At 41.5% G+C, this 24,844-nt stretch overlaps 1 protein-coding gene across 1 annotated transcript in view; it reads left to right on the forward strand.

Annotated features, from left to right (window-relative positions):
* Positions 1-24,844, forward strand: part of ARNT2 (aryl hydrocarbon receptor nuclear translocator 2) — a 193,552-nt gene that overhangs the window by 104,755 nt on the left and 63,953 nt on the right. The window contains exons 7-8 of the mRNA NM_014862.4: positions 4,775-4,840; positions 5,184-5,269. Of these exons, the coding sequence (NP_055677.3) occupies positions 4,775-4,840; positions 5,184-5,269 (152 nt within the window). The remainder of the gene's footprint in view (positions 1-4,774; positions 4,841-5,183; positions 5,270-24,844) is intronic.

Raw genomic sequence — 24,844 nt, forward strand, 5'->3', positions numbered from 1 at the left:
TCAATGTTAAGTAAAGCAAACAAGGCCGGGTGTGGTGGCTCATGCCTGTAATCCCAGCACTTTGGGAGGCTGAGGTGGGCAGATCACCTGAGGTCAGGGGTTTGAGACCAGCCTGGCCAAAATGGTGAAACCCTGTCTTTATTAAAAATACAAAAATTATCTGGATGTGGTGGCACACACCTGTAATCCCAGCTACTCAGGAGGCTGAGGTGAGATGATCGCTTGAACCCAGGAGGCGGAGGTTGCAGAGAGCTGAGATCGCGCCACTGCACCCCAGCCTGGGTAACAGAGTGAATCTCTGTCTCAAAAAAAAAGAGACTAAAATAATAATAATAATAATAATAAAGCAAACAAAACCCCTGCCTGCATAGAATTCATTTTAGTAGGGGTGATACAAAGTAGACAAAAGTACCAAGTAAATATATGGAACATCAGATGGTGGTGAGTGCTATGGAGGAAACATAAAGCAAACTTAAGTGGGAGTAGGAAATAGCAGATTTCGTTAATTTCCATGTTATATAGGGTGGGAGGGGAAGACATCACTGATAAGGTGACTTTTGAGCAGAGACCTAAAGAAAGTGAGTGAATGAAACAAGGGAATGTCTGGGCAAAGAGAAGGGCAAGTAGAGGGAATAGCAAGTGCAAAGGCCTGGAGGCAGGGATGGTCTTGGCATGTTCAAGGAACAGTGAGAAGGTCCTTGTCTCAGAAGCAGAGTGAATGGGGTACGGTGCAGGAGGAATGGGCAGAGATGTGGTTGAGAGGTAGTGGATGTTAGGTCGTGTTGACTTTACATCGCTTCAGCTTTTACTCTGCATGAGATGAGAGGTCCCTGAAGTTGACTGTGAGAGTTACATGTTCTGAATAACATTACTAAAAACTGCCCCGGTTTTCTGTGGAGAGTAAACCTGTGGACAAAGAAGAAGGGTAGAAGTAAGGAGGTTATTGCAATGATTCAGGTGAGAAATGTGATTGTGGTAGAAAGTGCTCAGATTTTGAGTGTATTTCACAGACGGAGCCAGCCTTCAGGCAGGGTGTGAGGAAAAGAGAGAAGTCAAAGGTTCCGCTAAAGTCTTTGCCCACTCAGTCGGAAAAACTGAGTTGTCATTCTCTAAGATGGAAAAGGTTGTTGGGGGGAGCTGGTTTGGGGTTGAGGGGAATTCCAGCATTTTAAGGTTAAGATGCCTGTCTATAAGAAACTTAAACAAATTTACAATAAAAAAACAAGCAACGCCATAAAAAAGTGGGCAAAGGACGTGAGCAGACACTTTTCAGAAGAAGACATACATGCGGCCAACAATCATATATAAAAAAAAAGCTCAATATCACTGATTATTACAGAAATGCAAATCAAAATCAAAATGAGACACCATCTCACACCAGTCAGAATGGCTCTTATTAAAAAGTCAAAAAGGGCCGGGTGAGGTGGCTCATGCCTGTAATCCCAGCATTTTGGGAGGCCAAGGCGGGCAGATCACGAGGTCAAGAGATCAAGACTATCCTGGCCAACATGGTGAAACCCCGTCTCTACTAAAAATAGAAAAATTAGCTGGGTGTGGTGACGCGTGCTTGTAGTCCCTGCTACTCGGGAGGCTGAGGCAGGAGAATTGCTTGAACCTGGGAGATGGAAGTTGCAGTGAGCCGAGATCATGCCACGCACTCCAGCCTGGCAACAGAGCAAGACTCCATCTCAAAAATAAATAAATAAATAAATAATAAAAATTTAAAAAGTCAAAAAATAACAGATGCTGGTGAGGTTGTGGAGAAAAAGGAATACTTACACAGTATTGGTGGGAATGTAAATTAGTTCAGCCATTGTGGAAGACAGTGTGGTGATTCCTCAAAGACCTAAAAAGAGAAGTACCATTTGACCCAGCAATCCCATTCCTGGGTATATACCCAAAGAACTATAAATCATTCTGTTATAAAGACATATGCATGCATATGTTTATTGCAGCACTATTCACAATAGCAAAGACATGGAATCAACCTAAATGGCCATCAGTGATAGACTGGATAAAGAAAATGTGGTACGTATACACCATGGAATACTATACAGTCATAAAAAAGAAAAAGATCATGTCCTTTGCATGGATGTGGATGCACCTGGAAGTCATTATTGTTAGCGAATTAACACAGGAATGAAAAACCAAATACCGCATATTCTCACTTACAAGTGAGAGCTAATGATGAAAACTCAGGGACACATGGAGCAGAACAACACACGCTGGGGACTTTCAGAGGGTGGAGGGTGGGAGGAGGAAGAACATCAGGAAAAATAACTAATGGGTACTAGGCTTAATACCTGGATGATGAAATAATCTGTACAACAAAGCCCATGACACGAGTTTACCTGTATAACAAACCTGCACTTGAACTTAAAAACTAAAAAAAAAAAGATGCCCACAGACACCTAGACGGAGAAGATGAGCAGACAGTTGGACATGTAGTTCTGGAATCCAAGGAACAGGTTGGGGCTGAAGATATGGACCTGGGGATTGACATCAATAAAATGGTATCTAAGGCCTCAAAACTGAGATGCATGTGAAATCTCGTGGGAGGTGGGTATAGACAGAGGAGAAGACAGAGGACTGAGTCCTGGGGCTTTCCTGCCTCAGGGGGTTGGGGAAGAACCAGCAAAGGAGACTGAGAAGGAGCAGAGAGGCAGGTGGGAGGGGAAGAAGAGAGGGCAAAGGGAACAAGAGAGGGCGAAGGAAGTTTCTGGAAAAAAGGAGTTATCAAAGGCCAAAGGCTACTGATGAGCCCTGAATGTGAGCCCTGAATGTCCATCACTGGACCTCAGAGAGAGAACCAGCAGGAGATATGGCATGTAGGATATACGGCACGTAGCAGCACAATGGAACCACTTACTAATGTCACCCTCACCTAATTGCGTGCCACAGGATCTGTGACTTGCACTGGGGCGTCCGTTGCGTACTATGAATTTCCAAACAATAGGTGCTTTAAAATAAGTATCTATTTTCCCTAATTTAAAGTAATCTTTTAAAGCAACTACACTTTTTAAGCAAAACCTGTTTATGTACAGGCTGGTTGGTCTCCCTCAGATCACCAAGGTTGCCTGTGCTGAGGGGAGACCTGCTTCTCTCACCCACTCCTTGGGCTCTGAGAACTGGCAGAGACCATTTGTTCTGTTTTACGAGAAATGGCCCTTCAGGGATTTGAGCCTCGCTGTTCTTTTCTCTGAGTCTCCTCCTCTCGAGGCTGAGCCTCTGGAATTCTTGAAGGCACAGATGAAATCCTCTTCACCACCTGCCTCAGGTCACAGGATGGTGCTGGAATGACAGAAAGCACGCATGTCTCCATTTAACTTAGGACTGGGTCCCCACAGACTGCCTGCCCCTCTTTCAGCAGCAGGGGCAAGCTGGGCAGTGGGATCCACTTGCATTGCTGTGCATCCAGAGATGAAATGCCATCAGTTAGTGTAGTCAGTCACGGCATGTTTGTCCTGCAGTGCTTCTGTGAATAAATGCCTATCCTAGCTTAGTAGACATTGAGTAGAGCACCAGCAATACAAATCTTAATGGTACCATCTAAGCAATTCCCTTATGAATAAATTGATTGAAAGTGCCATAGTATATCATTTCCATTAGCCCATAAAGCCATTATCACTGCCCCGTCAATGAAATTCATGCAGTCCCTTCCCTGCCCTAGTGTCCTTCCAGGGAGCGTGATATTGGTTGCTCTTTGAAGTGCCAGGTCCATACTGCCTGTGTTTACCTGAGAGGTGGGCAGTGCTGCCATCTACTGAGAACATAACATTTTCCTCCAAATGAAACAGCTATTTTCAGTAAAGCACTGGGCACAGTCAGCCAGAAAAGGGCAGAGGGCCAAACATTGCTGGGCAGCAATGACATGGGGTGAGCCTCCTGTGAAGACCACACTAGTGCTGGCAGCTGTCTAAGGTCTCAGAGTATAACTAGACTCTTATCCCTGCTGTATTGAAAATTAAGATATTCAGGATATCATTTGTGATGTAGTTGGGAAATGGAAATGCACATAAAAAATGGATATACCAAGCAGCAGTCAGAGCCTGGCCATGGTGCAGGCTTTGGGTGTTCAGCACCTGAGATGCTGAGAGGATCATTGTAAAGGGAGGCAGGAAAGGTTGTCCCAGAGTGTACAGTGTGATGCCACCATCCCCTGCCTCCCAGATGGGGACTCACAGAAAGACCGGATTCTCTACCTGTTTATCTCTCATCCCCACGCTCTCCTCTGCCATCAGCAGACTTCCAGCTGTCTGGTTGTCCCTAGTGCTAGAACAGTGTATGGGAGGAGAGAGTTTCCACAGCTGTGATGCTAAAGCCTGAGAAGATGTTACTGTTCATTAACTGGCAACATCTGTTTTAAGTTGATGTCACTGCTCAGGCCTGAAGGGACATTATTGCTGTCATCACCCTCTTCCCTTCTTTCCTAAAAGCCATGGAGTTCCACTGAAATGATCTGCAGGACTGAGCATGGCCAGGTCTCTCCTAGAGTCTTTCTGTAGGTCTCCAGCTCCTGGACTGGGCCCTGAAACAATTTCAGTGTGTGTTGTAATGTGGGTCACACTCTCCTTTCTTCAGTCACAAAAAAAAAAAAAAAAAAAAATCAAAGGCATGCAGGTCTGCTTCTGCACTTTTGAAGAAAATTGGCTATAGGCGTCACCTGAATAAATGTGTAAGCATCAATTAAGGCTCATCTACTTGATGGCAGCACCATATATTGAATAAACTTGCCTGGGTCTTTGCTCATTCTAATACACTTGTCACATCTTAGGTGTGGAAATGCTCCTTTGGACCACCTTCCTCTAAACAGAATAACCACCATGAGGAAAAGGTTCAGGTCAGTATCTCTTCCGATGTATATTTTGGGACTGTTCTGGTAGATAGTCTAAACACCCTAAGCTAAGCAGCCTAGATTAAAGAAGGGGCTTAGTGTGGTGAGGACCAAGAGAACCAGACATCAGGGTGGCAGTGGCAGAGATGAGAGAGAACAGGGAGTTGGGTGGAATTTATTTTTGATTTTCAGACCATGTGGGAGGAAGGAACACAGGATGGTGAGGAGTCAAGATTCAAAACCACAAAGGCAGACAAGGGAACCCAGTAGCTTAGATGCCAGAGGAGTCATCAACATCCTTGCCTCACCCTCATGTGATGAAAACAATTTCACAAATGTTCTTTTTTAGGAATGGCCTTGGCCCTGTGAAAGAAGGAGAAGCCCAATATGCTGTGGTCCACTGTACAGGATACATCAAGGCCTGGCCACCAGCAGGTAAGGAGACCTGCATGTAAATTCCACGGGAACTGGGTGCTGCTCATACCTGACCATGGTGTCCTGTTAGAGAAGTATTCTCATAGGAATAGGTAGGAAAATATTCTTATTTTTCTTTGTGGTTAGAACACAATGATCTTTGTAATTGGAAAACATCCTGCTACTTGAAACAAAGGTTTCTGTAAAGAGCTAATTGTGCAACCAGACGCAGTGGCTCACGCCTGTAATCCCAGCACTTTGGGGGGCCAAGGCGGGTGGATCACGAGATCAGGAGATGGAGACCACCCTGGCTAACACAGTGAAATCCTGTGTCTACTAAAAATACAAAAAATTAGCTGGGCGTGGTGGCGGGCGCCTGTCGTCCCAGCTACTTCGGAGGCTGAGGCAGGAGAGTCGCTTGAACCCAGGAGGCAGAGGTTGCAGTGAGCCAAGATTTCGCCACTGTATTCCAGCCTGGGCAACACAGCAAGACCCCATCTCAAAAAAACAAACAAACAAACAAAAAACAAAAAAACCCACAACTAATTGTACAAAGGTGATTGGAGTCTTAGCAACTTGTTTCTAGGTTCTGTCACCCAGAGCATTCTATAAAGTCAGAGTGGCAATTTGAAATGATGAGTGTATCTAAATCATTACAGAAATGCAAATAAAAGCCACACTGAGATACATCGTATTCTCACTAAGATGGTTAAAAGACAGGTAACAACAAATGTTGATGAGAATGTGGAGCAACTGGAATCCTCATACATTGCTGGTGGGAATATAAAATAGCATAGCCACTTGGGAAAACAGTTTGGCAGTTCCTGAAAATATTAAAAACAGAGTTACCATATAATTCAGCAATTTTCACTCCTAAATATACAACCAAGAGAATTGAAAATGTTCATAGCAACATCATTCATAATGGCCAAAAAATGGAAACAACTCAAATGTACACCAAGTGATGAATAGATAAATAAAATGTGGTATATTCTTGTAATGGAATATTATTCAGGAATAAAAAGCAATGAAGTATTGATACATGCTATATTATGGACAAATCTTAAAAATGTCATGCTAAGTGAACAGAGTCAGACACAAAAGGCCACATATTATATGATTTCATTTATGTAAAATGTCCAGAATAGGCAAATTCATGAAGACAGAAAGTAGATTTGTGGTTTCTTGGTACTGCAGGGAAGAATGAGGAATGACTGCTAATGGATACAGTGTTTCTTTTGGGGGTGACAGAGGTGTTCTAAAATTACATAGTGGTAATAGTTGCACTGCTATGTAACTATATTAAAAACCACTGATGTGAATTATATATCAATAAATTTGTTCCTAAACCAAAAAAAAAAAAAAATACAATGTTAAACAATTTTTTGTTCACTTTATGGCCCAGAATGTAGTATATATATCTCAGTAACTATTTCATGTCAGCTTGAGAACAATGTGTATACTGCTGTTGTTGGATGAAGTATTCTTTTTTTTTTTTTTTTTTGAGACGGAGTTTCACTCATTACCCAGGCTGGAGTGCAAAGGCATGATCAGGGCTCACTGCAACCTCCACCTCCCGGGTTCAAGCGATTCTCCTGCCTCAGCCTCCTGAGTAGCTGGGATTACAGCCTCCCACCACCACACCCAGCTAATTTTTTGTATTTTTAGTAGAGATGGGGTTTCACCATGTTGGCCAGGCTGGTCTTGAACTCCTGACCTCAGGTGATCCACCTGCCTCGGCCTCCCAAAGTGCTGGGATGACAGGCGTGAGCCACCGCACCCAGCCAGATAAAGTATTCTTTAAATGTCAATTTGATCAAGATGATTGATAGTGCTGTTGAGGGCAACTATGTTTTTATTGACTTTTTTGCCTGCTCAATGTAGCAATTACTGAAGGAGAAATGTTGAAATCTCCAATTATAAGAGTGGATTTTCCTGTTTCTCCTTGTAGGTCTTTTTTTGCGTCACGTATTTTGATGCTGTGTTGTTTGGTGCACATATGTTAGGGATTGTTATATTTTCAAAGAAAAGTGTTCCTTTTTATCCCTGATAATTTTCCTTGCTCTGAATTCTGCTTTGTATGAAATTAATAGAGTTTCTTCAACTTTCTTTTAATTACTGTTAGCATGGTATATCTTTCTCTATCCTTTTACTTACAACTTAACTGTGCCTTTATATTTAAAGTTGGTTTCTTGTAAACAACATATAGTTGGATCTAGTTTTTTAATCCACTCCCATAATCTTTTAACTGATACATTTAGACCAGTTACATTTAACATGATTATTGATATAGTTTGATTGATAGCTACCATGTTTTCTATTCATTGCACTCATTCTTTGTTTCTTTGCCTCTTTTTTTGCCTTTTTTAAGTTTCTTTAAAAATATTTTTATTCTTTGCCCTAAGTTTGCAACATACATTTACAATTATTATATACAATTACAAATATATATATATATATATATATATATATCCATGTTCAAAAAATATTATGCCACTTCATGTATAGTGCAGGCACCTTATAATAAAATCTTCCTTCTTCTGTCTTTTCATTTCTTATACTATTGCTCTCATTCATGTCACTTATGTGAATGCTATCATCACCCAATACATTGTTACTGTTATTGCTTTGAACAAACAGTTATCTATTAGATCAATTTAAAATAAAATGTTTTATTATATCTTTATTTATTCCTTCTCTGATGCTCTTCTTCCAAGGAACTTATTTTAGTATTTCTTACAGGGCAGCATTACTGGTGATGAATTCTGTTTTTGGTTTTTTGTAGAAAATGTTTATTTCTCCTTCACATTTGAAGGATTGAAATTATGAGATATGGAAATATAGGTTGGCAGCTACTTTGTTTCAGTGCTTTAAATATTTCACTTCATTCTCTTCTTGTTAACATGGTTTCTGAAGAGAAGTCCACATAATTCTCATCCTTGTTCTTCTATAGGTAGTGTGGGATTATTTTTTCTAGCTTCTTTTAAGAGTGTCTCTTTATGTTTGGTCTCCTTCAGTTTGAATATAACATGCCTAAATATAGAGGGGTTTGTTTGTTTGTAATACTGCTTGGTATTCTCTGAGGCTCCTGGATCTGTGGTTTGATGTCTCTCATTAACTTTGGACATTTTTCAGACATCATTTAAAAAATATCTCTTCTGCTCCATTTTCTCTTTCTTCTCTTTTGTATTCCAATTACACAGATATATCTTTTGAAATTGTACCACAATTTTTGAGTGTTCTGGTTTTTTTTTTTTTTCATTCTTTTTTTCTCTTTGCATTTCAGTTTGGGAAGTTTCAAATTGATATATCTTCAAGTTCACTGATACTTTCCTTGGCTGTGTTCAGCCTACTGATGAGTCTATCAAAACTCTCCTTGACTGTTTTCAGTTTACTGATGAGTCTACCAAAGGCCTTCTTCATTTCCATCACAGTGTTTTTTAATTTGAGCATTTCTTTTTTATTCTTTCTTAGAGTTTCCATCTCTCTGCTTTTTATTATCCATCTGTTCTTGCATATTGTCTACGTTTTCCATGAGAGTTTATAAGTTATTAATCACAATTATTTTAAATATTTTGTGATTTCATAATGTGTTTCACACCTGAGTCTGGTTCCAGTGCTCACTTTGTCTCTTCAAACTATGTTTTTTTTCTAGCTTGTTAGTATGCCTTGTAATTCTTTGTTGAAATCCAGACATGTTGTATCAGATAATAGGAACTGAGGTAACTAGGCCTTTGGTGTGGGGTTTTATATTAATGTTCCTAGGAGTTGGGCTGTGTTTAATGTTTTAAATATTGTAGCTATAGGTTCCAGAGGCTATAAATTCCTTTCATGTTCTTGTTTTTCTCTCCTACTACCTTTGGTTTTCCGAAGAACTTTTTCTTTTTCTATTCTTTTTTTTTTTTTTTTTTTTTTGAGATGGAGTCTCGCACTGTCACCAGGCTGGAGTGCAGTGGTGCAATCTCAGCTCACTGCAACCTCTGCCTCCCAGGTTCAAGCAATTCTCCTGTCTCAGCCTCCGAAGTAGCTGGGACTACAGGTGTGCACCACCACAGCCAGCTAATTTTTGTATTTTTAGTAGAGGTGGGGTTTCACCATGTTGGCCATGGTGGTCTCAATCTCCTGACCTGGTGATCCTCCTGCCTTAGCCTCCCAAAATGCTGGGATTATAGGCAGGAACCATGGCTCCTGGCTCAAAGAGCTTTTTCTTAAATAGTCTTAAATAGAGTATGCCTTGCAGCTATTTGAGCCCTGTTGATGTGGGATGAGGAGTTGGGGGAGAGAAATTGTTCTGTAATCTTATGATTAAACCTCATGGGCCTATGTCCTGGGGCTGTGACCTTCACAAGTGTTTCTTGTCTCTCCCTCCCCTTAGGCCATATGGGAAGGATAGAGTTGGGCTGGAATTGAGTAACTCCTCTTTTCCGTAGGTGAGATAAGGTTCTGGTAAAGTCTTTTCTCTTAGAGAGTAGGTCTTTGTTATGGAGAATGCTCTGGACATATTTCAAAATGGTTACTTTTTATCTCCCCCTACCAGAGATTGGGGGGGTGATTTTTCTTGGTTTTTCACTGTGAGAACCTGGTGGGTTCCTGGAGGGAAAACCCATGAAAGTGTGGGGGCCCATTTTTGTACATTTTAAAACACATTAATAATACATTCATATAGTAAAGTTAAAAATATTGTTTCATTCATTCATTCAACACGTATTTGTTGACCACCTACAATGTATGTGCGAGGCATTGTTCCAGGCACTGTAGATATTATAGTGCATGTAAATCAGTGAAAATGACCACGGCAAGTCTCAATCATTTTAGGAGATTTATTTGCCAAAGTTGAGGAAATGTGCCTGGGAGATACGTATATGCCTTTCTCCAAAGATGATTTTGAGGGCTTCGATATTTAAAGGGAAAAGGGTGGATATGGGGGGAAGAGGAATACATTTTTAAAAGGTGCAGGTAGATAAGAGACAAATAGTTGCATCCTTTTGAGTCTTTGATCAGCCTTTCACTGAATATACAATTGGTGGGGGCAGGGGGCTGCGGTAAATAGTCACTTTTGCCTTCATCTGGCTCAGTGACAAGCCAGATAACATAAACAGTAGAGCAGAGGAAGCAATCAGATATGCTTTTGTGTCAGGTGAGCAGAAGGATGTCTTTGAGTTCTGTCCTTTGTCTCACACCTGTGAAGATAAGCTGTCAATTTTCATTGCCAGGGTGAAATTCACCAGAACTGTTTTAGGGTAAAGATTTGGGGCCTACAAGGAATTTCCTTATGAACAAATTGTGGGGAGGTATGTAGCTTTTTTTTTTTTTTTTTTTGAGATGGAGTCTTGCTCTGTCATCCAGGCTGGAGTGCAGTGGCGCAATCTCTGGTCACTGCAAGCTCTGCCTCCTGGGTTCACGCCATTCTCCTGCCTCAGCCTCCGAGTAACTGGGACTACAGGCACCTGCCACCATGCCCGGCTAATTTTTTGTATTTTTTTTTTTTTTTTTTTACTAGAGATGGGGTTTCACCATGTTAGCCAGGATGGTCTTGATCTCCTGACCTCATGCTCCGCCCGCTTTGGCCTCCCAAAGTGCTGGGATTACAGGTGTGAGCCACCGTGCCTGGCCGCTTTTTTTTTTTTTTTTAAATCTTTGTACCTATCTTATTTAGGAACCAAATGGAAGGCAGGTTTGCATGACCCAGTTCCCAGTTTGACTTTTCCCTTTGGATTAGTGAGTTAGAGTTCCTGAGATTTATCTTCCTTTCACATGCGCAAAATAGACACAATTCTGTATTCTGAAGATAAAAATGGACAATAAACAAGATGCATAATCAAATATACAGTACCTTAGATAGTTCATGCTGAAGATGTAGACTCAAGAGTCATCAGTGTACACACGGTTATTAAAGTCGTAAACCTCTGTTTACCTCTGGGGAGAAAGGAAGCAGAATGGTATCAGGAAGCCCTCCAATTACACTGGATATTTTTTATTTCTCTAATATAAAGATAACATGAAGTAAATGTGGCAGAATGTTAACATGTTTTAAATCTGTGTATTGAAGAAGGTAGTTAAGCAAGACGAGTAAATTACAGAGATTTGCTGTACAATATAGTGCTTATGGTTAACAATAAAATACTGTGCACCTAGACATTTAAGAGTGTAGATCTCATGTTGTGTTCTTACCACAAAAAAAAATAAATAAATAAAAATAAAAAAATACCAACAGACATACAAAAGGAAACTTTTGGAGGTCATGGTATGTTTACTACCTTGATTGTGGAGATGATAACGTGAGTGTATACATATGTCCAAACTTACCAAATTGGATATGTTAATTAGGTACAGTTTTTCATATACTGACCATATTTCAATAAAGCTAGGGAAAAAAATCTGTGTTTGGATACGTGGGTGTTTGTTACATTTTCTATTTTTGTCTATGTTTAACCCTTTTCCCATTTGCCCTGAGAATACTTGCCGGTAGCACTTGTGGCTGCAGAGTTTACCCCAAGATAACTTTGCCACAAAGTATCTTGCTTTTATTATTGTCACATTGCTCTAGTATATTGACTTTGGAAACAAAAGACATTCTATTTATAGCAGTCTGTGCTTAGTAGTGATATTTCCATTTACAAAATATAGTAATTCTCAATTGCTGAAAATACAAATCCTAGAAAATGTAACATTCCTAGACACGATGTTAACATTGTTCTTGAACAGTTGTTGGCCAAAGATTTATTTGATAAATCTGATTTTACTGAGATAGACAATTCTGATGATTCAGATGATTCTGATGTTACTTCTGTTTAGAAGTAACTCAAAGAACAGATTTTATATTTTATTTTCACATTGAAAATCAGTCATATTTGCTTCAGACTCCAAGAGCGTGTTTATGTAAAATTAAATGAGTGCTGGCAGCAAGTTACACTTTTTTTTTCTAAACAGGAGAAGAGTTAAAGCATAAAAAATTAAAAATCAGACTATAAAAAATTGTGGTACACAAAATATCCTGGCCACAAAAATCCAACAAATTTACTGGTAAAAATGTATCAACTATATATTTTTGTAAAATAAAAGCAAATACCGATAGTGTATTTCATGACTACACAAATAAATCATGATATTGAATAAATTTGCATCAATTTATAAAAGGTACATAAGGAGAAAGCAGCTATAGCAATAATAATTGTTACAAATCAAGCTGCAAAATGTAAATTTTTATTAAATTCTACATGTCATTGCAGTCCATATAAATAAATACTTTAATACACAAGAACACAAAGCATATGGCAAAATAATACATTTGAAGAAACGCCAATGCCATCTTCATGCTTGGAGTAAATAAAACGTTTCGTAGAATGTTGGTAATTGGCAAGCAAATGAAAAAATCATGAATTCTAAGAAAAACTAGCTTAAACTTAATATATATCATTGCCTCCGCTGGGTAATGGGTTATGTTAATAATGGATTCTGGTAGTAACAAATTGAATCTCTAGTATTAGGATAATGATCCAAGTCCTATCTCTGACCAACTCATACACCTGTCACGTACATTCCTTTGCTCATTACCATGCTCTGTCAATAGACAGTGAAGCCTTGCTGTCTTCTAGTAGACTGTACCTCTGACCTTGTATATGAGGCCTTCCATGAACAATATGGATGATTTGAAAGCAAAATAATTTTTAGATACTGTTTAAAACGTAAAAAGAATGAGTTTTCTATATTCACAAATATAGTAAGCACCTTAATGCAGTTCTTAAATGTAAATAATAATAATAATAAATACTTACTGAAGGCTTACTATGGGTCAGATGTAATTATAAATGTTTTAGCTACATTAACTCATTTAATCGTCACAACAGCTGCATGGAAAGGGTGCTATCATTTTTATGTGATAAACAAGCAAACTGAGGCACAGAGCTATAACCTGCCTAAACTCATACAGCTAGTGCATACATAATGGAGCCAGAATGTGGACCCAGCTAGCTTGATTCTTAAGTTTGTGCCCTTAATCAGCATATACATACATATGTATACATATACAGTCTTGCATCACTTAATAATGAGAATACATCCTGAGAAATGTGTCATTAGGCAATTTAATCGTTGTGTGAACATCATGGCGTGCACTTAAACAGACGTAGGTGGTATAGCCTACTACACACCTAGGCTATGTGGGATAGCCTGTTGCTCCTAGGCTACAAATCTGTACAGCATGTTATTGTACTGAATATTTTAGCAGTTGTAACACAATGGTGAGTATTTGTATATCTAAACATAGAAAAGGTGTAATAAAAATATGGTATTGTAATCTTATGGGACCACTGTCATATATGCAGTCTGTTGTTTACCAAAAACAACTGCATAATGACTGTGTGACTGTACATACACATATATATATATATATATATCTGTTTGATATTTACATATGTGTGTGTGTGTGTGTGTGTGTATATATATATATATACACACATTAAAAAATTTTTTTCTACTTAGACCATAATGCACAGAAATGTCAGGATATTGTTTGCCAAAGGCCTCCAGCTGGACTCAAGGATGGCGATCCTAAGAAGCAATGCCTTCCCAGTGTTCAGAGCCTGGACCTCAGCTTTATAGATCCAGAAAGTCTTGACAGTGTTCTAGAATTTCTCAGAGCCAGGGAGTGTGAAAGAGTTCTCATAAGTGAATGTTTTAACCAGGTGCAATTCAGTAATGTCATGGGGCTCCTTGTCCCTGGCATGGATGCTCATGTCCAATGTCTCATGAACCCATCAGTTTTGAGTAGTTGAGAAACCACATTTGTATTAGAAGTTTGTTTGCTGAGAGGAAATTAAGAGTAAAGGGATGTGGACCACTGGAAGGGAGATTTCCGAGAGTGGCCCAGTTCACCGAGCATGTGTGCTGGCTCCAGGGGTGGCAGTTGTTGAGCCAGGCTTTCAGGGGTACAAACACAGACCCATCCTTCAGGGATTGCACAGATTGGTGGGGAGATCAGTGCATGCACAGGTGACTATGGGGAGTGTGGTCAGGGCAGGCAGCCTTGTGGGGGCAGAGGAAGGGTCCCTAACCTGCCTGGGGTTAGGACAGGGTTCCTGGAGGAAGCCCATAATACTGCAGGATTGGTACTGACAAATTCTGTGCCATTCCAAGGTGACCATCTCATTCTTCTTGATGCTTTCTTCACTTGAGTTAATCATTCTAATTATACCAGGCAAATTTCTCTTCCTGCTTCTAGTCTCAAAGTGATCTTCTTCTTACCACTTTATTTGAGCTCCAGCCCCCTGATATCACATGGTAAATGCCTTGATCATGGAAAGACTCACTTTTAGTGTCCTTATGGATGGGAGTGAGAAAGGAGGCTGAGGCCCAAGGTGCGGACAGGTGACTGCATCCAGAGAGTCTGCAAAGAGGATTCAGGATAAGCTTTTCTGAAGTTGCATGCAGGTCTGTGACTGTGAGTGTGAGTGTACAGGGTAACAGAGCAGTGGGACTATTATGCATTAAGTCTGCAACGATGGCCCTTGAAACTTTGCCGCATGAGAAATGATTGAAGGAGCCAGGGGTGTTTATCTTGGAGAAAGTGAGACATGATTTCTGTCTTCAAGTATTTGAGGGGGTGTCATATGAAGGAGGAATTAATCTCCTTAGGATAGTTCCAGAAGGCACAATTTGGATGAAAAAGGGAAAGTTACCAGAAGGCAGAGTTTAACTTAATAGGGAGAAATGAGCAAAGGCAATGAACAGGGTGCTAAAAAATGTGTATACAGAGACACTAAACATATGGAAAAAGTTAGCCTCACTATTAATCAGAACTGCAAAGTAAAACAATTTGTTACCATCTCTTACCTATCAAAAGGTAAAAAATAGAAAAGACAAAATACACAATGTTGGTAAAGTTAAAAAAAATGGACACTTTATGTACTGCTGGTGAAAAAATAGGTTAGTACAAACCTTTTGTAGAATAACCTGGCAGTGTGTATTAAATATCTTAAAATGTGCACCTCTTGAGATACAGAAATTATGCTTTTAGGAACTTATTTCAAGGAATTAATCAGAGATGTGTGCATGTGTGTTGAAGCATTAATAATAATTGTGAAAACCTCATATTAATCTACATTTCAATGGTAAAGAATTGGTTAAAAATAGCATGGGACATCTACATGATAAAATACTGGACAATAATTAAACAGGCATGCTTTTAGAGGCTATGTAAGAACAAAGTGCTGGCCGGGCGCAGTGGCTCACACCTGTAATCCTAGCACTTTGGGAGGCCGAGGCGGGCGATTCATGAGGTCAGCAGATCGAGACCATCCTGGCCAACATGGTGAAACCCTGTCTCTATTAAAAATACAAAAATTAGCTGGGCGTGGTGGCGGGCGCCTGTAGTCCCAGCTACTCGGGAGGCTGAGGCAGGAGAATGGCATGAACCTGGGAGGCAGAGCTTGCAGTGAGCAGAGATTGCGCCATTGCACTCCAGCCTGGGCGACAGAGCCAGACTCTGTCTCAAAAAAAAAAAAAAAGAACAAAGTGCTAAGAAGTATTAAAAAGAAAAACAGTCTATAAAACATGCACTTCATGATCCCAATTTTATTTTTAAATTATAAGTGAATCAAGTGTATCTATGCGTTGAAAAATGATACGGAGAATAGTAATCACTGTTATCTCTGTATAGTAGATTGTTGGCTACTTTTTCTTTTCTATTCATTTCTGTATTTTCCAAATTTTTGCATGACTTTAATAATAAAAGAAAATGTCATTTTTGCGAAATCAATCTAAATTTTCTAAAGAGGCATTCCAGACAATTGGATTGAGTGGTCTGCACTGGATTTAGAAGTTGTATATTTTTGTTTGTTTGTTTTTATATTTAGTTGGTCATGTTTCTGTCAAGATAGAGGTTCTGGAAAACAACACCATCTCCATACATGATGATAATAGCATGCCTACAGGATACCTAGCTATGCCACCTTGTTCTGTGGCTATTAATACTCTGTTTCTTGATTGTAACTACATTCTTAGCACATATAACACTATTTTGTGCTTACTGTTTAGATCCCTCAAGAGCAAGAGGCATGCTTTGTTCATCATCTCATTCTAGTGCGTAGCTCAGACCTGACAGATAGTATGTATTTCATGAAGACTGGTTGGATGGATGGACAAAAGGAAGGAAGGAAGGGGAGGATGGAAGGAGGGAGGGAGGGGGGTAAAAGGGAATTTTTTGCCTAGACAAAGAAATCACTCACTTTGAGGGATGGGTATGTGAAATAATTTCTTGCCAGGATTTCCAAACAAGTTTATAGAATCTGCTTTCCCAGAAATCTTTTAAGATGGTAGAGGCAATCATCTAGCTTAGATGAGTTAGCTGAAATGAGGTCATGGCACTCTTACCCTATTACAAGGTCATAGAATTAGAGCATTGAAGCAGCAACTCCCTCAATGATCGGATGATGCCTTGTAAGTGTTCATGGGGAATGCTGCCCTTGCTTGCTCATGAGTTCAAGTTCCCTAATTACCAACAATAACTTGGTTAGGAAGTATGAAGATTCTTGAGCAGCAAAGTTGCTAAAAATATCTAAAGGCAACCTTGAAAAATCTTTAAAGGTGGGCAGCAGAGGTAGACTTTGGGGAGTGAACAAGGGTTATTTGACAAACCACTTGCAACATGTCTGCTTATACCTGAGAGGGTTAGTTGTACACTCGTTGTTCTTTCTCCTCCCTGCCGACTCCCTGTTAAATGTAAATCTCACAGTGTATTCTCATACATTCCAGAAGCCCTTTCTGTTACACAGTGGCCTTCTTAATTAGCCTCACCAGGCTTTATACTGAATAGGTTTCATTTAAAACATTTGGGATATGACTGAAAGAAAAGGAAGAGTTCTAAAGTCAATCAGCTCCCTTGTCTAATGCTTCAGGTGTTCATTCTGTCAGAAATCACTCATGATGGGCTGCGTTTTCCATTTTGTGGGGTGCGTTCAGAGTTCAAAGGACACTTTGAAAACCTGAAGATGTGAATTGCTTCTACCCCATTGTTATCACCCAGCACCTTGAATTTCATGGACTAACATTCAGCTTTGAGCCAAATGTCTTTTCTACAACAAATCTTCCTTTCTAGTAACCATCGTCCGACCTGCCTGGTTCCTCACCTAACAATCCATGGAAAATGCCAGGTTAACTGGCAGTGTGTCTGCACAGCAGAGCCAAGGTCTGACCCTGGCAGCTTGACCCAGAGCAGGTGAACTCCCACCAGACCATCTGGGTCAGGAGGAGGTTCGGGTGTTGGCTCCCTTGTGTGCTTTCTTAGTGGTGAAATGATGCCTGTCCTCACTTTGCTGCTAGACTTTCAGTAAGCCTTGGCCACAGCATGCCAGAGGCCTGAGGTTATTTTGGGGTTTTGGCTAGAATCTGCTATGGTCAGGCCAGTGCTGTCACTTCACCAGACAGCTCAGTTTTGCCATGAGCTCATCTACAAGAACCTTGCACTTCTTGCAGTTTGCTTGTTGATCATTGTGTTTGTTTTCCCTTCACTTGGAAATTTCCAAAAGCTGCTTGTCTGTATTGAGGCCACCAACTCACAAGGCATTGGCTGGACCCCTGCTTTCTCCAGCCCCCAGCCATCCCACCCTGCCCATGTGGCATGAGTACATCAGGTCTCTGCCTACTGCTCAGGACCTCACCAGGCATCAAAGCCATGATGACCTTAGCTGATGAGATGGAGAGTGATGATTGGCAAAGTCTTCTGGCCTCTTTGTTCTCAGGCAGGGCAAAGCCACTCTTCCATTTTGTTCCATAAATACTTTCTGAGCTCTTGCCACAGGCCAGCCACTTTGCTAGGTCGTGGGGATCCTAAGGTGAGTCTGACACAGTTCCTGTTCTTAAGGAGCTCACCTCCAGTGGAGGAGACAGGTAGGCCTGCAGGTCATTGCAAAGCCACAGGTCAAGGGTCATAACCGAGACACATGTAGGGGAAACATGCATGTAGGAGAGAAATGCCATTAATTGGGAGTACCAAGACTGGCTTTTCCTTGCTACACACTGTGGCCAAGCCCTACTGAAAGCTTAGCAGGCAAAGAGAGAGTAACATTTGAGCTGAAACATAAGCACAAAGGAGATGTGGGAATTGGCTGGTTGAAAAAATGCATTACAAGCATGGGAAATAGTGTGGACAAGGACAAGGGAGATGTAATGATGATTCCAGTTTTCATTTGCAAATGATCACTATGTGCCTGCCTCAGTGAAAAATCATTTCAATCATTTCCATGCATTGTGCTATTTTAATTTTCACAACAACCCTAATGAGGTACAGTCACTCTTACCATCTCCATGAGGATTGGAATAGTGAAGAAATCAGCCCAGTTTGCACAGCTGGTAACTGGTAAGGTTGGGTTGCAAAACTAGGCTTTTTGATGCCCTTACCATAATTTTCTGCTTTCTCAAAGTGGGAGAGAGACACTGTGTTGAGAACCACATGTAATTCACTATGGCTGCTAGGGAAGATGGCTGGACAGGGAGATAGCATCAGATCTTGGGGAGGGGGCCTTGTGTGCTAAGCCTGAGAGTTTGTACCCTTCCCTACATTCCTGGGAGTTTGTAGCCTTCCCTACACTGAAGGTTTTAAATTATTCTTCTGGAAGTTGGATTGAAGGGAGAGGAGGGACAGGAATAGGCCTGAAAGCAAAGGGACCATAAAGAGGAGTACTTATGCAATAACCCATGGAGAAGCTGTGAGGCCGAACTAGGGCAGCAGCCGTGCACATGGGGAGGGGTGTGGAGAGTTTATGAGAGCTGGGAGATGTGTGATGACTGGGATGAAGTAGGCCACAGGCGGGGGTGGCAAGGACCACAGCTGGCGGGTGGGGACGCTGGGATCCACACTCAGGGAGGCTGATTCCAGAGTCTGAATGCTTAAGCATTACCCTTGCTGCCTCCTTCACTCTGCCAATGGAGCTGAAAGTCATCTGAGGCTTTGCATCCAGAATTTAGATTTTAGATATTTGACCATTTATCTATCTATCTATCTATCTATCTATCTATCTATCTATCTATCTATTTATCATCTATCTATCCATCATCTATCTACCTATCTGTCATCTACTGACATCTATCTATCCATCTAACTATCTATCTACTATGGTGTGGTTTGTTTGCGCACCCCCTGCCCCACAACCTCATGTTGAAATTGGACCCTCAATGTTGGAAGTGGTGTCTAGTGGGAGGTGTTTGGGTCATGGGAGTGGACCGCTCATGAATATATTAATACCCTCCCTGGTGGTGGGGGATCTGTGAGTTCTCATTCTTGTTAGATCCCAGGAGAGTTGGTTGTTAAAAAACCTGTTGTCTCCCCACTCTCTCACTATGTGATCTCTGCACATGGTGGCTCCCCTTCACCTTCCACCAGAGTAGAAGCACCCTGAGACCTTCACCAGGAGCAGGTGCTTTTTATACATCCTGCAGAACTGTGAGCCAAATCAAACCTATTTTCTTTATAAATTACCCAGCCTCTGTTATTCCTTTATAGCAAGACAAAACAGACTAAGACACAAATCTTTTTCAAGAAACAGGTTTGCCATTTCCAACAAATTCCTTGGCCACATTACCTACAGTTAGTCTGACACCAAGTTGGTTTCACTGGTTTCATTGCTTACCCCTGGTTTTATCTACACCATGCCCCCTCCATTGTTTTATTCTATTTTATTTGTGCCAGGATGATTTTTAAAATAATTTCTTACAAGACAGGTGAGCAGGTGCTTCATTTCATGACTTCTTGCAAGGTTGAGAAGTTCTTCCTGTTGCTCTCGAATTCTTGGTCATAGGGTTTCTTCTTGGTCCCTCCACCTGTTCTTGCCATTGCTAGCCTGCCCTGGTTGCCATTGCTGATTTACATTTCTCCCTATTTCAGACTTGAGTCACTTCTGTTGTAAGTTTTGGAGGGACGGGTAGTTACTCAAGTGGTATCACTTCACTCTGATGAGCTGAAAGCACCTGGTATACTTCAAAGCTTTGCATTGCATAGTGGGGGATCCATTTCTTTAGGGTCACCAGCAGAAACCCTGAAATGCAAAGTACCTACAGATCAGCATTAGCTTTGTAGAGAAGTCTGAGACCAGCTTTTATTATTTTTTTTCTAGATAGCCTGTTTTTCTTTTCTTTTTTTTTTTTCATTATGACCTTTCTAGGTTGTTTTTTCCTTTTCCTTAGAGTTCAGAATTTTCACTCAAGTGAATGTAGTATAGGTCAGTTTTCCTTCATTTTCATTATTGCCCGGTGGGCTGTTTTGGTTTGCAGACTCAAGTCTTTCTTCACGATAGGAGAATTTATCTATGGTTTTTCAGAGTTGCTGCTGCTTCTCAGTTGCTCTCTTCACTTTAGGATGTTCTGTATTGATTTCTCAAATCTGCTTTCCCTGCCACTTAGATTTTTGCTCATCATATTAATTTCCTTATCCTTTGCTCCAAAATCTTGGAGAATTTCTCAATCCAAATCTTCTATTCATGGTTACTGTTTAATTTTCTTAAAAATTTGACAAGTACACATTTCATCTGAACTCCATCTTTGCTGAATTAAGGTTGTGCCTTGCGCATAAATATTATGTCCTCTTATGTCACACTGAGTAGTTGAATTTAGGCTTTTTCCTCTTTTCTTTTTATTAAGAAAGTCTCCTTTTCTAGTGGAAACATTGGCTCTAATTCCTTAACTCGGTATCTTCTTTTTCATAGGCTTGTGATTTTTTTTCCATGTGGCTCAACTTCGAGAGGTCACTATGTGGTTGTCCACTTTTGAGAGTTGAGAATGGTTCCATCAATGATCACATGGGTTCCAGAAAGATATTTCAGGCCCTGACACGGGCAGAAGAGGAATGTTTAGCTTTGCTGCAGTTTTACTGTCAGCTGACCAAGGTTCACTTGTCTGTACATGAGGACCAAGGCTGACGGTGGGAAGATAACTAAAGTCACAAACACCCCCTGTAGTGAGCGCAGACATTCTGCCACCATACTGCTTGCTGGGACTTACTGGGAGGGAGGGATAGAGATCTGCTCTCCCTCACAACATGCCGTGTTCTGTGCTGATCTCAGCCATGGTGGCTGTAAGCTTGTAGGTTGGTCTTGCTGGAGCCTTTTCCTCATATGCAGGGAATTCAGGCTTTGTCGACTCTTCCCTCCACCCATTCTTGCCTGAACCATATATTTCAAAGTTTTCTCGCCATTGCCATCCTTCCCTGGTTGCCAGGGCTGATATATATGTTTCTCCCTATCTCAGACTTGAGTCATTTTTGTTGTAAATTGGGGAGGGACGGGTAGTTACTCAAGTGGTATCAGTTCAATCTGTTGAGCCAAAAGCACCTGGTATACTTCAAAGCTTTGCCTTGCAAAGTGGGGGATCCATTTCTTTAGGGTCACCAGCAGAAACCCTGAAATGCAAAGTACCTACTGATAAGTACTCCCCAAAATATCTTCCAAAATTAGTCCCCGTAGATACACCATGAATACAAGAATTCCATGCTCAATCCATTTGGGAAACTTGGCAGTCTGTATTCTCCTCCTAGATAATTATACTCCACAGTCCACAGTTGCATATTAAATTCTCTTAGACTTCTACAGTGATGAAATCTCTTTATCTTTGTTTAAACTATGTTTCCCAAATGTGTTTGGCCAAAGAAGCTTTTTTTGCCCAAAACTTACTAATATTCCTCTGAGAATACTTTGGATGCATGCCGTGAACAAGTACCCTTAACTCTGCTCGTAGCAGAAGGTGGTTTTTTCCTTCTGAGTTTTGTGGAATGCAAAAATATGTTTCAATTCACATGTGACAATGTAAGTCCCCGGACAGCCTCCACCCAGTGTTGTTGAAAAACTGTCCACTGTTCCCTGAGTGTTTGCACAGGGTTAATGCAATCCTTGGGAAGAAATGAAGAAGCATTTCTGGCTAATGCCGAGTTTCATCCCAAACAGCAGTTTCCAGTTAAATTTCATTTGTGTGTTGTTTATATTACTCAGGATTTACTTAGACCTGGTATGAGGGAAGAGTATATCCAAGGAGAAGGTAATTTAATGTGGGGCACAATGAGCTTGTGAAACCAATTAGGGAATCATTAAAATCTGTTAAAATAGCTGGAATTATCCTGTTCATATTAAAAATCAGTTTGATAAATGTTGCAATTCCTGCCAGGAAGCTCTCCCTTCCGACATGGCTCCTTCTGGTCCTGGCATCCAGCCTTGGCCATGTGCCCCTCCTCAAAGCAGAGTGTTCTTTTCTCCGTTATAACACCAACCATGTGGCATCCTCATCATTTGGTTCTGTTTTCCCCACTAACCGGTAAAATCCTTGAGTAGGAGCTGGATCTCATTCACTGCTAAACTCCTAGTCCATAGTGGAGTGTCAGATGCTTACCTGGAGTTTGGACTCATTGAATGTCAGAGCCAAAGAGAACCTGGGGCATGATCAGTCCAGCCTGCCACTCTTATAGATGGAGAACCTGAAGCTCCGTGAGGTTCTGAATCTCAGCTGACCCTAACGTCTCTCAGCTCCCCAGCACTTCCTTTCCCTTGACCACAGCCCACACCCCGCAAAGGACGCCTGCAGCAGGACAGAGCTCAGCCACAGAAGAAGCCAGCTCGGCAGTGGGCGGCTCCACCTCTTCTGACTTGTGCTAGGATGGCCTTATCAGCTTCACAGTGAAAACAAGAACTGGATGTGTTCAGCCCCACGTGCCAGGCTAAATGCTTAATGTGTATTTTCTTATCTAATGACCACAGCAACACTATAGAATAGGACCATGGTTATTCCTATTTCACACATAATAACTACTATTATTCCCATTTCCTGAAGCCTTGAGAGGCCAAGTCTTTTGCAGTCAGTACATGGTGGAATCAGGATGTCTGAGTCAGGACACCTCTTTGGTCACCCTAGAGCTTGAGCCTTTGATGACCCCCAAGCTGCACTGCCCCCAGTCTTCTACCATTGCTTCCATCATTGTTGGTGTCAGCCATGATGACCATTTTCTCTTTAAAGGATCCTTCCTGGAGGCAGTTTTGCTATTCATTGTACCATTGTGAGGCCCTCACAGTGGTAGCCTATGTCCCTGACCTTCAAATAATCTTATCACCACCATCTCAAATATAAAGATTTGTGTCTTCCTATATGAAGAGGAGCTCAGCTGATGTGCTCCGAATAGTCCTCTCCAAAGGACAGATGCATGCTTTGCTCCATGTGCTTGGGCCACAGGTCACTTTCTAAAAGGCCCTGTGAGTGGCCAGCATGCTGTTGGGAGAGAGAGGAAGAAGCACTCAGCCACCGTCTGTAGCAGAAAGTTATTTTATTCTTCTATCAAAAATATTTGCCTTTCATAACTGTCCTACTGTCATTATTCTTATTTAGATGAGCTGATCACCAAAACAGATCCTGATACGTGCTTTCAAGGGAGTATTCACTAGAATCATTTTCAGAAATGGAATGAATGGCTTTGAAATTGTTGACCAGTGGGAGACCTTTGAGGTTTTTTGAAAAGGGACTCAAATATGGTCAAGTCTGTGCTTTGACAAGATGAAAGTGGAGATTGGGTAGACAGTGGTCAGGGAGAAGCAGGAAGAAGAGGAGAGAGTGGTGGGAGTGGACAGTGGAGGTGAGTTTGCAACAAGAAGAGACTTTTGAGCACCAGGAACAGAAGCACTGTGTGGAGGCAGCACCAGGCAGGAGGGACCGGCTCCATGGCCAGGGGCTGTTGGAGAAAGGAGCAGCCACTGTTGGGGAGGGGATTGACAGCCAGGGAGGGCCATGGGGGCAGACCAGAGCACAGAGCCCACAAGAGGTAGACAGCCAAGGGCGAGGATGGAATACAGTTCTCAGGTCCTGAGTGGAAGGAACTCGTTTGGGAACTGGTTAATTTGGGAAAGGGGAGCAGGGGCAGGTGGAGACTGATCCTTACAGGGAAGAGTGTGGAGCAGGAAGTGGAAGGACACTGATGGCGGTGAGAGGTGATAGCAGGATAAGGACGCAGGGGCTACTGGAGAGGCCACTGTGATGGATGACGAGTTGGCAAATTTTAAAAGTCATGGAGGAACGGTCAACACAAGCCAGCCTGGGGTGCCCCAGGCAGAAATATGGTAATGGAAAGTTGGAGTAATGGTGTAGCCCCAAAACTGGTTGGGTGGCAGATGGACTGCAACATGGCCCTACACTTCAGATGCCCATCCTGCTCTGAGGGGCATTTTCAGCTTCTAGAAGTGAGACATGGGGGAGAAGCCAGCCAATGAAGCATGTCATGGTTTCTGTGAATTTTTTACAACTGAAAGTTGAAAATAACAATGAAATTCCACAGCTAAGGCATGGAAAGGATTCAAGGTTCTAGGTTCCTCTGCCTCCCTTGAGAAATGACCAACTGTGTTCCCATTGAATCCCACTGCTCCTGTGCCAGTGAAGATGAAGCTAACTCAGAAGCACACAGTGGGCAGAAGCCTGGGGGCCTCCTGGCCCACTTCTTTCTTTACTGATGAGGCCCCAAGAGGGACAGTTGTTGTGCCCCCTCATTCCATTTTCCTGATGTCCTCTTTTCACCTCACTGTGTCTTTATTTTTATGGCCCTGTAGCAAACACTGTGTTTACAGATTCTGATTTATTGGA

Source organism: Homo sapiens, chromosome 15, assembly GCF_000001405.40.
Source record: "Homo sapiens chromosome 15, GRCh38.p14 Primary Assembly".
In the NCBI taxonomy this organism is placed as follows: Eukaryota; Metazoa; Chordata; class Mammalia; order Primates; family Hominidae; genus Homo; species Homo sapiens.